Source organism: Homo sapiens, chromosome 1 (genome assembly GCF_000001405.40).
Source record: "Homo sapiens chromosome 1, GRCh38.p14 Primary Assembly".
NCBI lineage: Eukaryota > Metazoa > Chordata > Mammalia > Primates > Hominidae > Homo > Homo sapiens.
This window is the reverse complement of record NC_000001.11, coordinates 59,223,582-59,238,494: the sequence shown is the minus strand read 5'-3', so window position 1 is coordinate 59,238,494 and position 14,913 is coordinate 59,223,582. Positions and strand designations below refer to the sequence as shown.

Below are 14,913 nucleotides of genomic sequence, written 5' to 3'. Positions count from 1 at the left end.
GTAATATTCCAGACATTTACGCACTGTCTTTTGCTGAGCCCTGAGCAGGTGTGTACATGAGAGGATGTGTCTGTGTGCCACTAAGGAGCTCCTTACTATTCCTTTCACATCAAATAATCCTCTGGGAAACTGCTTACTTCTAGATACGATGGGCATCTCATTAAGTGCTCAAGTCATTGGCATGCCTTTCTCCGCCTAATAACTTTGTTTTAATCTCCTGCATTCAGCATGTATTGCACTGTTAATGTGAAAGGGATGCTCTTTGCTCAATGAGGTCTTGCTGAGTTGACTTGGGTTGTGATGGGTTCTTCCTGTTTTTTCAGGTGGCTGACAACACCTTCTACATGAATATTCTGATTCAGCATTTTTCATTGCAAGGTGGATTGAGGTCATAGGGAGAGCAAGGGCTTCTTAGCCACGTTCCCCATAGCTTGAATGGTGATTCAGTCTTTATCAAATGAGCTGCTGTCTGACTTCAAGCTGGTGACCTCCTCTTCCTGTGTCTCAGTGTCCACCGTACTAGAATAATGATAATACCTCTCTTGCAATGTAGTCACCAGTTTTCAGCAAAAGTATGGAAATCTCTGGAGTGCCTGACACAACAGCAGGGATTTTTTGTTTTTAAGCAACTCTAAATTCAGGTTTGTTGTTGTTGTTGTTATTGTTGTTGTTTTGCAAGGAGTGTATAATAATATTAATTCCACAAAAATTTACTGAATATCTACTTGGTTCCTGGTACTCTTGTAGACAGGGGTAGCATCAAAACAAAGATTTTGGCCCTCATGGAGGTTAAATTCTTGAGGGACAGATCAATAGTAAATAAAGTAAATAAGTGAAATATTGGTATGTTAGATAGTACTAAGCACTAGGGAGAAAAAGATAGAGCAGGGTTGTTGAAATGGTTAAATAAGAACATATACAATGTTCCTAGCTGGTGTCTGGTACATAATCAGTAATCAATTAATGATACTTATTTATATCAATCATTTATTCATTATTTCACATTTATTCAACATTTGTTGAAATTATACTTTGGGCTAGGCACAGATGCTGTGACTCTTGTGTCTTTTGGAACTTTGAGGCATAAAATTCTCCTCCCGTCCCCTCCCCTCCCCTCCCTTTCCTTTCCCTTCCCTTCCCCTCTTCCTTCCTCCCTTTCTTTCTTTCTTCTTTCTTTCTTTTTTTCTTTCTCTCTTTCTTTCTCTCTCTCTTCCTCTTTCTTTGTTCCTTCCTTCCTTTCTTTCTTTCTTTTTTGCTTTCTTTCTTCTTTCTCTCATTGTATTCCTACTTTCTACCAGCACGTTGCTAAGTTGCTAGGATATAGAGATGAACAGAGTAGTAGGTCCCTGTCTGCAAGTTGCTCATAGTCAATGGAATCTCAGCTATGACAGAAACCAAAGAATCATGGAGACAAGAGGATAGTTCGATAGGGGCATAGAAAGAGACTGAATTTAAGAAAGGCAGGGTGGGAGAAAAAACATCAGTTTGAGAGTTCTAGCTGCTGCAGCCTTCTGGCAAAACACACTTGCAATTTCCTGATGCTTGATGGTTATGTCTGTCAATGACTCAGGCTGCTAGGTGATCTCCTCTAGTTCCTCAGCTATTTCTTTGAAGCTGGTTCAAGATCCAATAACTGGGTGAGAGCAGGCCTGGCATATAGGGAGACTCAAACCAAAAGGCTTTACTGTTAGAGAGGCCTTCAAGCTTCTGTTGGAAGAAGAGCTGTAAGCTACTGGCTGACTTGAAGTTTCTTGTGCTGGGAAAAAGATTCAATGGGGAAAATGAGGAAAATTAGCTGAGATGTTTCCATATTTTAATATATTGAGATGACCAAATTTTAATTTTGACCCTGCCAAGAATTTGTTATTTGACTGTGCGCTCTGAAAAATGTAGTGGTTGGATTAAATAAACTTCTGGCTCTGAAAATAATTCTACAGAATTAGTTAATCACTCTACACTCATTCATATAGTTGCTAACCTAACTATCCATTTACTTATTCTTTTATTCTTATTTATTTATTTTTATTCATCTGTGTTTTTGAGCATCTTCTTTCTGCTAGGCATTGTGCTGTATGCTGCATTACAATACAGTGTGGTTCTAGTAATCAAAAACTGAACAATCTGAACTGTAGTTTTTGGAGATTATTTAAATTCTCTTTGACTTTACTGGAAGACATTAAAAAATAACAACAACAACAACAACAATCCTTCCTCAGCTTTACTATACAGCATAGTAGCCCTGTGAATGAGACAGGACAAGTACAAGTCCCTTTTGTTCCCATTCCATAGAAAAGGAAATCAAGGCACTGAGAAATCTAGTGGGAATAGCAGGTACTGGCCTGGGTGCTAGTAATACAAGGTGAACAAGGACAGTGACCAACCATTTCAGTTTGCCAAAGACTGTCCCAGTTTTAAAACTGAAAGCGCAACATGCTAGAAGACCCTTCAGTCCTGTCTGCAAGGGCAGTTGGTCACTCAAGAATTCCTGTAAAATTGTTCCCACATTACAGAACACTAAGTATCATGACAGGTACATGAATAAAATCAGTAAGATTTACTGGTTTGGTTTAAAACAAATAAATATCATGTTGAAAACACTCAATTGCTTTCCCCCAGAGGCCTGAAATGTGTCTGGGGCTCTTCTTCATGAATCCCCAAGTTTAGCTGGTTATTGAATAGACAGAAGATATTTGTTTCATGAAGAAACTGGTGATGAGATAAAAACATTATATTATGACGTTAAATGGCCAATTTACATCCCTTCCCTTTACTCTCTGAGTGCTAAATGGCAAGTTCAAGGAGCAGAGACTATTCTTGGAAGGATATATTACTTTGGACATTTCTGCACTATAGTTTTACTTTAGGTAAGGTGGTTGGGGGAAAGGGGAGACAAAATTCTCTGAATGCTATGAATAAATCACATTGCATCCCATACAACTCTACACTTCTTGGAGCAGGTGGCTCCCTGCCTCTGGTTGCTTTTTAAAACATGGCATTATATTATGTCTGCTCTTTTTTTAAAAAAAACAACACCACAAAACTAATGACCAGACCAATTCATCAAATGAAGAGGGTAGTGGACTGGGGGTCAGAAAAAGCTCAGGGTTTTTATAAAATTTGAAACCTTAGGATAGTTCATTTCTCTCCTGGGGTCTCAGCATTTCCACCTGGAAAGAGGCACAGCCATGCCTGTCTCAACATCTTCCCCAACCCCTTGCAAAATGTCCTGAACTCTAGGAAGGAAGACGCAAATGACCATCACTTCATGCGAAGAGTATTCTGTTTTGATTAACAAATAATCCTGGCTGTAGTATTAAATCATGTATGACCTTAGACAGATTACTTAGCCTTTCTGGATTTCACTTTACTCATCTACAAATTGGGAGACTGTAAACCAACAACAAAGTATTGTTGTAAGGATTAGCGATAACATAAGCAAAGCTCCCTGCACAGTACAAGACCCTGGGTAAGATAAATAACACGTCTGGAGACCTTAGTTTTGGCTCCAAGATTGTCTCTGACTTCATAAGACAATTATTCCATGAAAATTATATTCACATTGATGAATCAAATACTTTCTGGAGCAAATATGATTGATTCAGTTTGTATTTTTGATTGAATTTCTGTACAGCACAGCTCGCCATTTCTGATTTTTCCCATTTTAATTTTATTATAATAAAATATTTCTTTATAAATTGTGAAAGAAATATTTTATGAATTAATCAGTACTTTTTACATGATGAACTGAGTATAGCTTCTGTCACTTCAGGTTTTCTTTTGTGAACATTAATTCTATAAAATTCTGTTTCAAATTCTATTCTTGTTTAGGAAGAGTTGATATTTTTGTTAATTGGTGGTCAATAACATTCTACTATATGTGATTTTCATCCATTATATTTTGCATCAAGTATTTCTACCAGTAGTGTTCATTAAGGATCCAAAAGTCATTGAACATAAGACTGAGAAGTAGCATCTGTGGTTTTTTAAAGCAAAGGATAGAGAGCATTACTACAGCAAGGAAGAAGTATGACGTGAGTCAGAGTCAAAGTGGTCGGGTCAAAACATCCTTCTTCATTCCCAATCTCCCTTACACTCCTTCACCGTGGACTGGGCTTTTGACATTGGCATTCACCTGATCCCCACCTGAGCTGGCTGTACTCTTTGCACACCATTATTGAAGAGAATAGACATATTAAAGATCTTTGATTCCTTGTTGCTTTCCCTGATGTCCTTCATGCTTGGAGACAGCCTCTTTTTGCTTTTTACCAGCTCATTCCAGCAGAGCTTGCACCTGAGTTTGCAAGAACCTTGTTTTAGCAAAGAAACCTTATTTTGAAAACAAATTTGTGGTGAGGAGTAAAAGACACAGTGTTGACCAAGAATCTCACATAATGTCTGACATTGTGGCCCTTAATTTATAGGAATTTGTTCTTCTATCCTTGCCTCTGGGCTTGTTCTTTTCTCAGGGAGACAATGAGGTCCAATGGAAAGGGCATGGGCTTCAGAATCAGACTGATCTGGGTTAAAATCTGAATTCTCCCGTTTTTTAGCTGTTACTGGATGAGTTATTTCATTTATCTGAGCCTCAGTTTTGTTAGTAAAGAATGGGAGAAAAATATTTTTTATATATGGGCATTGTTGCAAAAGATAAATTACAATACATGTAAAACATTCACTCAGGAACTGGGAATACATAGTCCCTGCCCACATATGGTGTAGGGAGGGACTCAGACATCAGCAAATAATAATCAAATTAATAAATTATTATAATCATGATGGCGACATTGAAAGGGTTTCTGTAAGGGCAAATAAGAAAATCTAATGTCATTGGGGCTTGGGAGTGTCACTCAAACCATGGTACACATGATGGCTATGCCACATTTTCATATATGTGTGTGTCTTAGTCTGTTTTCAAGCTGCTGATAAAGACATATCCAAGGCTGGATAATTTATAAAGAAAAAGAGGTTTAATGGACTCACAGTTCCACATAGCTGGGGAGGCCTCACAACCATGGCAGAAGGCAAAAGGCATGTGTTACATGGCAGCAGGCAAGAGAGAAAATGAGAGCCAAGCGAAAGGGTTTTCTCCCTATAAAACCATCAGATCTCATGAGACTTATTCTCTACCACGAGAACAGTGTGGAGGATACTGCCCCCATGATTCAGTTGTCTTCCACCGGGTCCCTCCCACAACACATGGGAGTTATGGGAGCTACAGTTCAAGATGAGATTTGGGTGGGAACACAGCCAAACCATATCAGTGTGTGTATGTGTTCTTGTGTATGTGTATGTGAACAGTGGATACAAGTACAGTCTTTGTAATTAGGCAGATGTGAGCTTGAATTTTGATTTTTACCACATATAAGTGAATTTTGGCAAAGTGTTTAATTTTCTAAATCTCAGTTTCTCATCTGTAAAAGGGGGTGCACAATACATCTACCACATGGGACTGTCCTAAGGATTTTCCTCCCCTTCCTCCTCATCTCTAACTTCTACTGAGTGCTTTCTGCATGCCAGGCACCATATACTCAGTGCTCTACATCCATGTAATCCCCACAGTAATCCCCTGAAATTGGGACTATTAATATCCTGAGGAAACTGGGCCAAAAAGAGGTTGGAGAACTTGCCCAAGGATATACACTCATGAGTGATAGTTAGAAAGAATTTCAACCAAAAATCTGGCTCACAAGGCCGTGTGTTTTACACAAGATACATGGAGAGAGAGCTCAATACCTGGGTGCTCTTCTCATCCTGATAATTTATCATCGTTTTTGTTTCCTCCATCAAGGGGATATAGATTTTCATTATTCCTAACCATCTGCCCAAGATCTATAGAACACAATAGGTGCTCTGTAAGTGCATTCTGAATAGATGAATGTACTGGATGTGGCAGAGGCAGTCCCGTTGTAGAGGTGGTGGGTGAGGTGGGACAGGATTAAGCACCCTCCCCCGCTGCTCCCCAGTACTTTCAGAAAGCCTTTCAGCACCCTTGATTGCTATGTGCTCTGACAAATGCATAAAATATGGTCCCTTTCTAGTTGCTTGCTCGGTCTGTTTCTGGAGAGGTGCCAGCCGTCTATTTGATCAACTTCAGGCAGCAGTGTGGTAGTCAAGGCTGAGCAGAGTGCAGCCGGCTGAGAAAATGGGTAAATATTTTATAGACCCTACGGTAAATAATGTATACATTCAGAGAAACAAGGTGAATCTTTTATAGGCCTGAGCCCCTGTTAAGTCAGCAATTAAATGCTGGTGCTGGAAGAAATAAAAGCTAGTCCTAAATCTTCCTACCTTACAGAGAGTCAAGGCCTGCACTTAATCTCTGGGCAAGAAGTTCAGTCTCTTTTCACTGATGCTGATTATTTTTTGTTTTTATTATTTTTTTTACTATTTTTTTGAGAGTCAGAGTCTTATTTTTTGAGAGACAGACTCCATTGCCCAGGCTGGAGTGCAGTGGCAGCCTCAAACTCCTGGGCCTCAAGCAATCCACCTGCCTCAATCTTCTGAGTAGCTAGGCCTACAGGTGCACATCACCATGCCTGGCTAATTTTTACATTGTTTGTAAAGACGGGGTCTCCCTGTGTTGCCAGGCAGGTCTCAAACTCCTGGCCTCAAGCAATCCTCTTGTGTTGCCTTCCCAAAGTATTGAAATTACAGGTGCAAGCCATTTCTTCTGGCCTCTGTTCACTGATGCTGAGTTGCTCAAATTTCAGTATTTTTTTCTGCAAAGAAAAGTCCTTTTCTTTATTCCAATGCTACTTGTAGTGTATATGCACAAATGTCTCTTTACTTACATTTGCATATATATATATTTATATTGAGTGTCTATGTGTAGACCTTCACATGTGAGATTTATTTTAATCCTCACAGCAATTCCAGTGAGGTGCATGTAGTAGGTACATAACAGATATTTGGTTTCCTTTGTTTGTTGAGGACCTACCTTGTGCCAAGCCCTCCCCTAGGTGGTATGGTACCATAAGCCTGGAGTGTACAATCTAATGGTAGGAGATAAATAGTAAACACGAGTTTCGCATGGAGGTAAGTGCTGGGGAGAAAAATGAAGCTGAGTAAGGGGAACAGAAAATGCCGAGCAGAAGGCTTATTGGCAGGATAACCTCGGAACAGACACTTGCAGTTTGGATGGTGGTGGTGAGCATGTTCCTATAGTTTCAAGGGATTATAGCTAATGTGTTGTTTGGCCTAATCAGGACCAAGGCATTTATTCCCTCAGCTTCTGGAAGCTGCACCCCTTCGCTGGAACTGCCCTCAACTGATGGAACTGTCTCAATCAAGTTTTGTCCCTACTTTCCAGGGGCAGTTCACATCCAATGACTGTTGATGCAGGTTTTTAAAGACCCGACCCCTTCTGTCAATGGGAATAACCCTGAGTGGGCATCCTGGGTGGCATTGAGGATCCTATCACTGATGGTATGTGAGGCCCTGATAGCCTTGGCATGCTCCAGTGGTGCAATTGTTAATTAGTGGTGAAAAGGGTAGGATACCAGTGGAAGGGAATGCAATAGTCGTTGCAATATCTCAGGCATTTAACAGGTTTGGGTGAAAGAGTAATTATAAGGACAATGGAATCGGATGTGTGTAATTAATGCATTGGAAAAATGCATAATGAAGGCTGGGGGTGATTAATCACCAGTGTATGACAAAATGTGGCAGTCAGAAGTCCTTCTTGGCAGCATATGAAGCAACACTCACTGCAGCCAGAGGATGAAAAAAACTGAGGCTCAGGCCTGGGACTTAACTATAAAGGTAGCAGAGCTCTAGAGGAGACTGGATTCTCAACCACAGTAAGCTGGCTACACCAAGGTCAGGCCCTTGATTGGGAAGGAGACTTGGGGTGAAAACATCTAGGTTAATGTAGTTAATGCACACTAAAACCTAGAAACCCCAAATGTCTCTGGATCCTCTTGGCCTGTAGAAATGGAACAATTTCCTTTTTTTTTTTTTTTTCGAGACAGAGTCTGGCTCTGTGTCCCTACTGGAGTGCAGTGGTGCGATCTCGGCTCACTGTAACCTCCGCCTCCTGGGTTCAAGCGATTCTCCTGCCTCAGCCTCTTGAGTAGCTGGGACTACAGGTGCATGCCACCATGCCTGGCTAATTTTTTGTATTTTTAGTAGAGACGGGGTTTCACCTTGTTAGCCAGGATGGTCTCAATCTCCTGACCTCATGATCCACCCGCCTCTACCTCCCAAAGTGCTGGGATTACAGGCATGAGCCATTGCCCCCGGCCGGAACACTTTTCTTTGTTAAAGGATAGTGCTCCATTTTCGCTTGAAGATAATACAGAAGCCTCTGCCTTGCAAGATGAAATCTCCCCATCCCCCATGGCCCACAAAAATCTACCTCCTCTTCTCCTTATGGCCACCAGGCCAGTAATGATTCCAGTCATAGCATAACCAAGCTGAGGAGGTGCTAGGCATGCTTAGGGAGGGAAGGTACTATATCTTAGAAAGAGTTAAAGATCTCAGACAATATGAACCAGCAGGACTGGAAGGGAACATTTAGACCTAGATCCAAAGAATGATGGATCAAGGAAAGAAGAACATAAAGTGGGAAAATGATAGCTTATTGATACGAGAATACTATACTGTTGTGCAGAATTTAATACCCTGGGAAGGACCCTAGGAGATGATACTAAGATCCTGCTATCATGGGTCTAGAAGCTTCATCCAAGTGTCAGGCAACACTAGGTAAAGTAGAAAGAACAGAACAGCCACGGAAGATGGTAGAAGAAGGATCAAAAAGAAGTGGGTATATTGGAGTGGACATAGTAAGTCAAGAAAAGCCCCCAGCCAATTATATTTTGTAGAAGGAATCAGAATATGCTCTGTTTACCAAGGCAATGGGAAGAAACACATTATTGAAAAGCTCAGCTGGCTGTTCTACGTAGGTCTGAGCTAATGGTAGGAGATGGTGTCACAGAACTTGGCTCCCTGGTAGCAATGGGGATGATAGAATCCTCAAATAACAGGTATCACTTGGTGATGCTTAACCATCAGAAGCAAAGTTGTTGTAGCAAGATCAGGAGGATCAGCCTGCAAAGAGCCATAGAAACAGTTAATAGAACACAGTATTTTTAGAAACAAGACAGATGCACAGGCAATACTTGTATTGCTCAATATGTACTCAGAATAGTCAAGGATGAATGATCAGAGTTTCTCAATCTGAGTTAATACACAGATTCAGAATCCACTGACTAAAGGAAAGGCCAGATCCTTGAGAGGAAAAAAAAAATCCCTGCAATACTAAAGAAGTGCATTTGTTAAAGATTTCCCCAGAACCTCTCCAAAGGGAACTACAATCTTTTACTTAAGTAACCATATACTGGGAACAGGGGAATATGCAGGTATTTCAGAGACTGTTGATCACAGTTATGGGTTGACATTTTCATCCAGGAATCAGAAGCATTATCAAGGCCTCCCTATTAAAGTAGGGGCATATGGAGACCACTATTGATTAAATGGAGTCCTGGCCCAGGTTCAGCTCGCAGTATGTCCACTGGGTCCATAGACCCATATGGTACCTATTTTCTTGGTCCCTGAGTGTATAATTGGAATGAGTGTAATTTGTAGTTGGCAAAATCCCCACATTGGGTTCTTGGCTTGTGGAATAAGCTATCAAAGTGGGAAAGGCTAAGTGAAAGCCTCTGAAACTAACCTCCTGTTGGCCAAGGTAGTAAATCTAAAACAATATTCTAACCCAAGAAGATAAGGAACAATAGAGAAAATTAGAGTCATCCTTGAAAACCTGAAGAAGGCCGGGGTGGCGACCTCCATCATAACCCCATTTAATTCATCAGTCTTGTCCAATGGTATGGGATTTCATTCACAAAGTCTGATATAGCTATTGCTGCTGCCAAGCGTCCAACTAGGTAGCATCAGAGACCAACCCTGATGCCTTGATATAGCATCAGTCCTTGAAAAGACCACCCAGCCACTTGGTGCTAAGTTTGAAGGGGCAGAGATTCATCTTGACTAGAATCAACACGTATTCTAAGTATAGGTTTGTCTTTTCTGCTTGTAGGTCTTTGGCCAGAACTACTATTCAAGAATTTCCAGAGTGTTTGATCCATCAACAAGGGATTTTGCATAATATCACATTACACTGAGAAACCCACTTAATAGCAAAGGAGAGAAGGCAGTGGCACATGATAGGATTCATTAGTCCTATCATATACTGTATGACTTAGAAGCTGTCACTCTGATAGAATGAAGAAGTGGCCTTTTGGAGAATTTTCTATGGTGCCATACTTCAGATGGGACCTTTGAGCATCATCTTCCAGAATGCAATGAACATGCTACATCAATAACAACTATAGGTACTATGTCCCCAGTAGGTAGAATTCATGGCTCCATTAGCCAAGGAGTAAAATTAGGAGCATCTTTCTTACCACTGCCTCTAATGATCAACTTGGAGAATTTGTGCTTTCTATCCCCCCTACTCTGGACTCTGAAGATTTGGAGGTTCTGGCTTCCAAAGGAAGAAGGTTTCCCTCCAGGTACACTTCAAGAATCCCATTAAACTTTAAGCTATCACAACCTTATGGTCACTTTGGGCGCCTTACACCAAAAGACCAGCAGGCAAGGAAAGCAGTCACAACCTTAGTCATGGTTCTTTGACTGACCATCAGTAGGAAGTAGAGCTGCTGTTACATAATGTGGGCAGCAAAGAATAGGTTGGATGACCAGAGGATTCACTGCGGCATCCTTTTGTACTCCTTGCTCAATTTTGGCATTAAGTAGATATGATGACCAGAGGCTCAGAATCCTCGCGGATGAGGGTCTGGATTACCCTTGCCCTCCCACTTAAACCATCCATATCAGCAGAGGTGCAAGAGGGTGAGGGGCATATGAAATGAGTAAGGAGAGGAAACTGATGAGTATCTGTGGCAGCTGGGAGACCAACTGCAGTGGCAGGGACTTGCTCATCCTACTCATCTTCCTCTTGTAAGCTTTCCTGGGGAAAGAAAATAATCATAATCCCAGAAGATCTGTTCCAAGTTGGGTTAAACTTATTATATAAAGCCAGTGAATCTGAGTAGTACAACTGTAGAGGATGATGTATTGTCCCTGAAGATCCCCTGTTTAGGATTGAGGCACTCATTCTGTTAGCTGGCAGGTGTCTGATGAGAATCCAAGCTGGGAAATTTTTAGAGAGGGCAGAGGCAATGGGTAGAATGCATGAAGGAGGATACGTAATGGATCTCCCAGTTCCAGTGATTCAAGGGATGTAGGAAAGGAAACAGTCACAACTTGAGGCATTTACTGAATGTTGGAAGAATCAATTCTCTCTATTTAACAAAGAAATTAAGAAAGATGAATAGGGTAGAAGGTAAGGGGTGAATCATCCAAACTCATAGAGCAGATTTGCAGTAAAGGTGAGACTTAAATTCAAAGATTTTTATTCAAGGTCATTCTGTCATCTTTGAAGGGTGTCTTTGGGCTTTTAATTCTAAGCCTTGGTTTTATAATGGAGGAAACTAAAGCTCTGGCAGACTAAATTATTTATCTGAAACTTATAATCAGGTCTTCTGACTCAGAGGCCTAGATTCTTTATTTGACACCATTTTCAATACAATTCAGCATACCTAGTTATGCATGGTATCATGGTATCTGTTTGTTTTTTTGTTTGTTTGTTTTTTTTTGTTTTTGAAATGGAGTCTCGCTGTGTTGCCCAGGCTGGAGTGCAATGGCACAATCTCAGCTCACTGCAAACTCCGCCCCCTGGGTTCAAGCTACTCTCCTGCCTCAGCCTCCCGAGTAACTGGGACTACAGGCACATGCCACCACAGCAAGCTAATTTTGTTGTATTTTTAGTAGAGATATGGTTTCACCATGTTGGCCAGGATGGTCTCAATCTCTTGTCCTCGTGATTTGCCCACCTTGGCCTCCCAAAGTGCTAGGATTATAGGTGTGAGCCACTGCGCCCGGCCTGCATGATATCTTTTGAGGAAGGTTTTCAGAAAACAGAGTGTCAAGGACTGCCAATGTCACCTTACTAGTCACCAGGTCTGTCTGACTCCCGAGGCAGGGCTCTTTCAATTGTGTCATCTTCCTCTCTATATTGACAAGAGTGACTGAGGATTCCAATCCAGGTCAGCCCATTGCAAGCAGTTGCCACAAAGTAGATGCTTAGTAAATGTTTGTCACTTGAATGAAGACAACCAACCTGACGGAAGAAGGTCAAGTGGATTTGGGGAAGAACATGATGGTCTTCTGGCTGAGAACCTGGGCTTTGACGTTAGCTAAATCTGGGTTCAAATCCAGGTTCAAAACCATTTGCCTGTTGGTTGACTTTAGATAAGTTACACTCTCTTTGAGTCCATTTCCTCATTTGTAAAATGAGGAATAGTAATATTCACCACAGAGAACTGCTTTATTATTACATGGCATCATGCATGTCAGACACTTACACAAGGATTAGCACAAAGAAGTGTTCAATCAACATGAGCTATAACTAGTTTCTCTTTGTCTTGAATCTTCACTCTCTCTTTCTATACCCTAGGTTGCCAGTGATTCTTCCTGTTTGCTCTGCTGCCAAATGAACCCAGTTTTCATATTTAGCACTAACCACTGGAATCCCATTTTCTTTCCTCCCTCACATCCACCCTCTCCCACTCACCTCTGGATCTAGGACTGGGCTCCTGCTCTAGTCATGGGATCCTTGCCATGCACCTGGCCACTCTTTTTATTAGGATCCCAGTCCAGACAAACCTGAATGTTCTGGCCATGCTTATTTAGTAGGATAATAACAATATAATTAATAGTCAACCTCTATTGAGCATTTACTCTGTGCTAGATGTTGTACTAAATGCTTGTATCTATCATCTCATTTAATCCTCATAGTAACCACAGATGTAAATTGTGTTTTAGTCTCTTACAGAGCAAGAGACTAAAGCTCTAAGAGGTTAAGTAATGTGCCCAAGGCCCACAGTTTGTAATTAGTGGAGCAAAGTCTCACACTCAGGCTGTCTGACATCAGTAACTGTACTTCCAACCCCAGTAACTGTGAATTTCTCCTGCTGCCAGCCCCAATGCCCACCCAGGGACAGATTTCTTAGTAGCTGCTGCCAACCTGTGGTCTCTGTCAGGCCTTCTGCCCTGCCGTCTCCCTTCAGAATTCTGAGAACTTACTTGCCTGATTCATGCAAATAAGTATTACCTGAAAGATGCCAGTTATTTATTTTTGTTTAATTTTTGTTCCTCCACCAGAAAGTTAGCTCTAAGCAGGCAAGGACAATGACTTGTTCTCTATTGTATCTCAAGTTTTTGGAACCAGTGGCTGACATGTAGCAGGTGCACAGTAGAGAGCTGTTGAATGATTGCCGAATGAATCTCATAGAGCTTCCTCTCACACCCTACCTTCCCAGCACCGGCCCAGCTGAAGCACGATATTCAGGCTCAGTAGCCAGGCCTGCTTTCTTGGCAGCTTCGCCTATTGGAAGCTCCCATTCTCCCTTTATGTTGCTGGGAGAAATTGATGCCTCTCTTCCCACCATCTTAGAGACCTCTAGTCTAGCAGACAAAAGCTAACTTCATAATTTAGATATATCCATTGGGACACAGAGTGATTCAGAAAGAGCCTAAGCCATGCATGAAGCACAAGGCCATTCCACCCAGCTGTCCTCTCCCAAATTATTCACTGCCATTGATGGAGCTCTTCCTAAGATGCTGGGCTAAAGGATTTATAACATTATTTCATTGAGTTCTCACTTTCAAAAATCTCAGGGAAAAAATATGTATTCCCATTTGATAGTTGAATAAATGGAAGATCAGAGAGATGTACTAACTCATCAAAGTCACACAGTAAGTGGCAGAATTGGGTTTTGAATCCATGTCTGTGTGATTCCAAAGGTAGCTCTCTTATGTATTAAGCAGAAGTTGGATACAATGTCAATAGGCTTGCCCTGGGAAAGGCCTTCTGCACCTAGAAAGCAGGGAGAGATACAACACAGGAGGAGGCCTACCCTGGTGTTGCACCATACATAGCAGCTCTTTGAAATTCGGTCTGGGGACTGCACAGGGCTCAGCATGTGGCAAGTCCAGCTGTTCTCCTCTATCACTCGTCCTGGGGGGTCCCCTGGGGTATGTTTCTTCTCTGACATTTTTGGAATATTTTAAGATTCATTCTTGAAGCATAAACTTTTTAACTCTTTTCCCATGGAAGAATTTCTTCTTCCTTATCTGCAGGCCTGCTTGGAAACTCACAGAACTTAGCTGATAAAGAGGTCACCCTTTGGTTCTTAGCCTCCTGTTCCCCCAGTAAACTGAACTTCCTGGAATCTGATAGTTTATTAGCTTGTTCTGGACACCATCAAGACTGGAAGGAACTTCATTTTTCAGAAAAGTGACTTGGCCAAAGGTGCAGACAGAGATAGTAGATCAGGTCTTTCTACTTTGAGTATCAGGTTCTTTGCAACTTCATAAATCCATGATGCCTGACTTAGTGCAGTTTACTAAAATAAACGAAGAAATTAGCCACTTTTTTTTTAGTTTGGTCAATGACACTCAAATGTTCTTGTAATGTTTTAAAAATTCTATCATTGGGGTAGAAAAGCTGGACTCAGTGGGCCCTGGATGTCCAATAAGAGAGAAAAACACCACAAGAAGAAAATTATCTGGAGGAAGAACTAATATGTAGTGCCAAAAATTTATGAATATTTTCTTCTCTGATGCTCTTATTAGCCCTGTGAGAGAGACATTATTATCTCCATCTTAAAGCTAAGGGAACTAAGGCTCAGAGAAAGTAACTAGCTTGCTAAAGTTCTCACAGCATATAACCAGGCCAGGATTCAAATCTAGATCCCTTGACCATGAAGCTTGAGGTCTTTTCACAACTCTGCAGTCTCTATAAATAATCTGGGTTTTAAAAAAGAGTGAACTTCTCCAGAACTGAAAGGA

General features: G+C 41.2%; 1 annotated feature.

The window, feature by feature from the left end:
• Window positions 244–538: a silencer, noted in NCBI's record as "tiled region #13133; HepG2 Repressive non-DNase unmatched - State 23:Low". NCBI's record gives its function as "represses a minimal TATA promoter and a strong SV40 promoter by Sharpr-MPRA in HepG2 cells {active_cell/tissue: HepG2}" and the evidence as "EXISTENCE:reporter gene assay evidence [ECO:0000049][PMID:27701403]".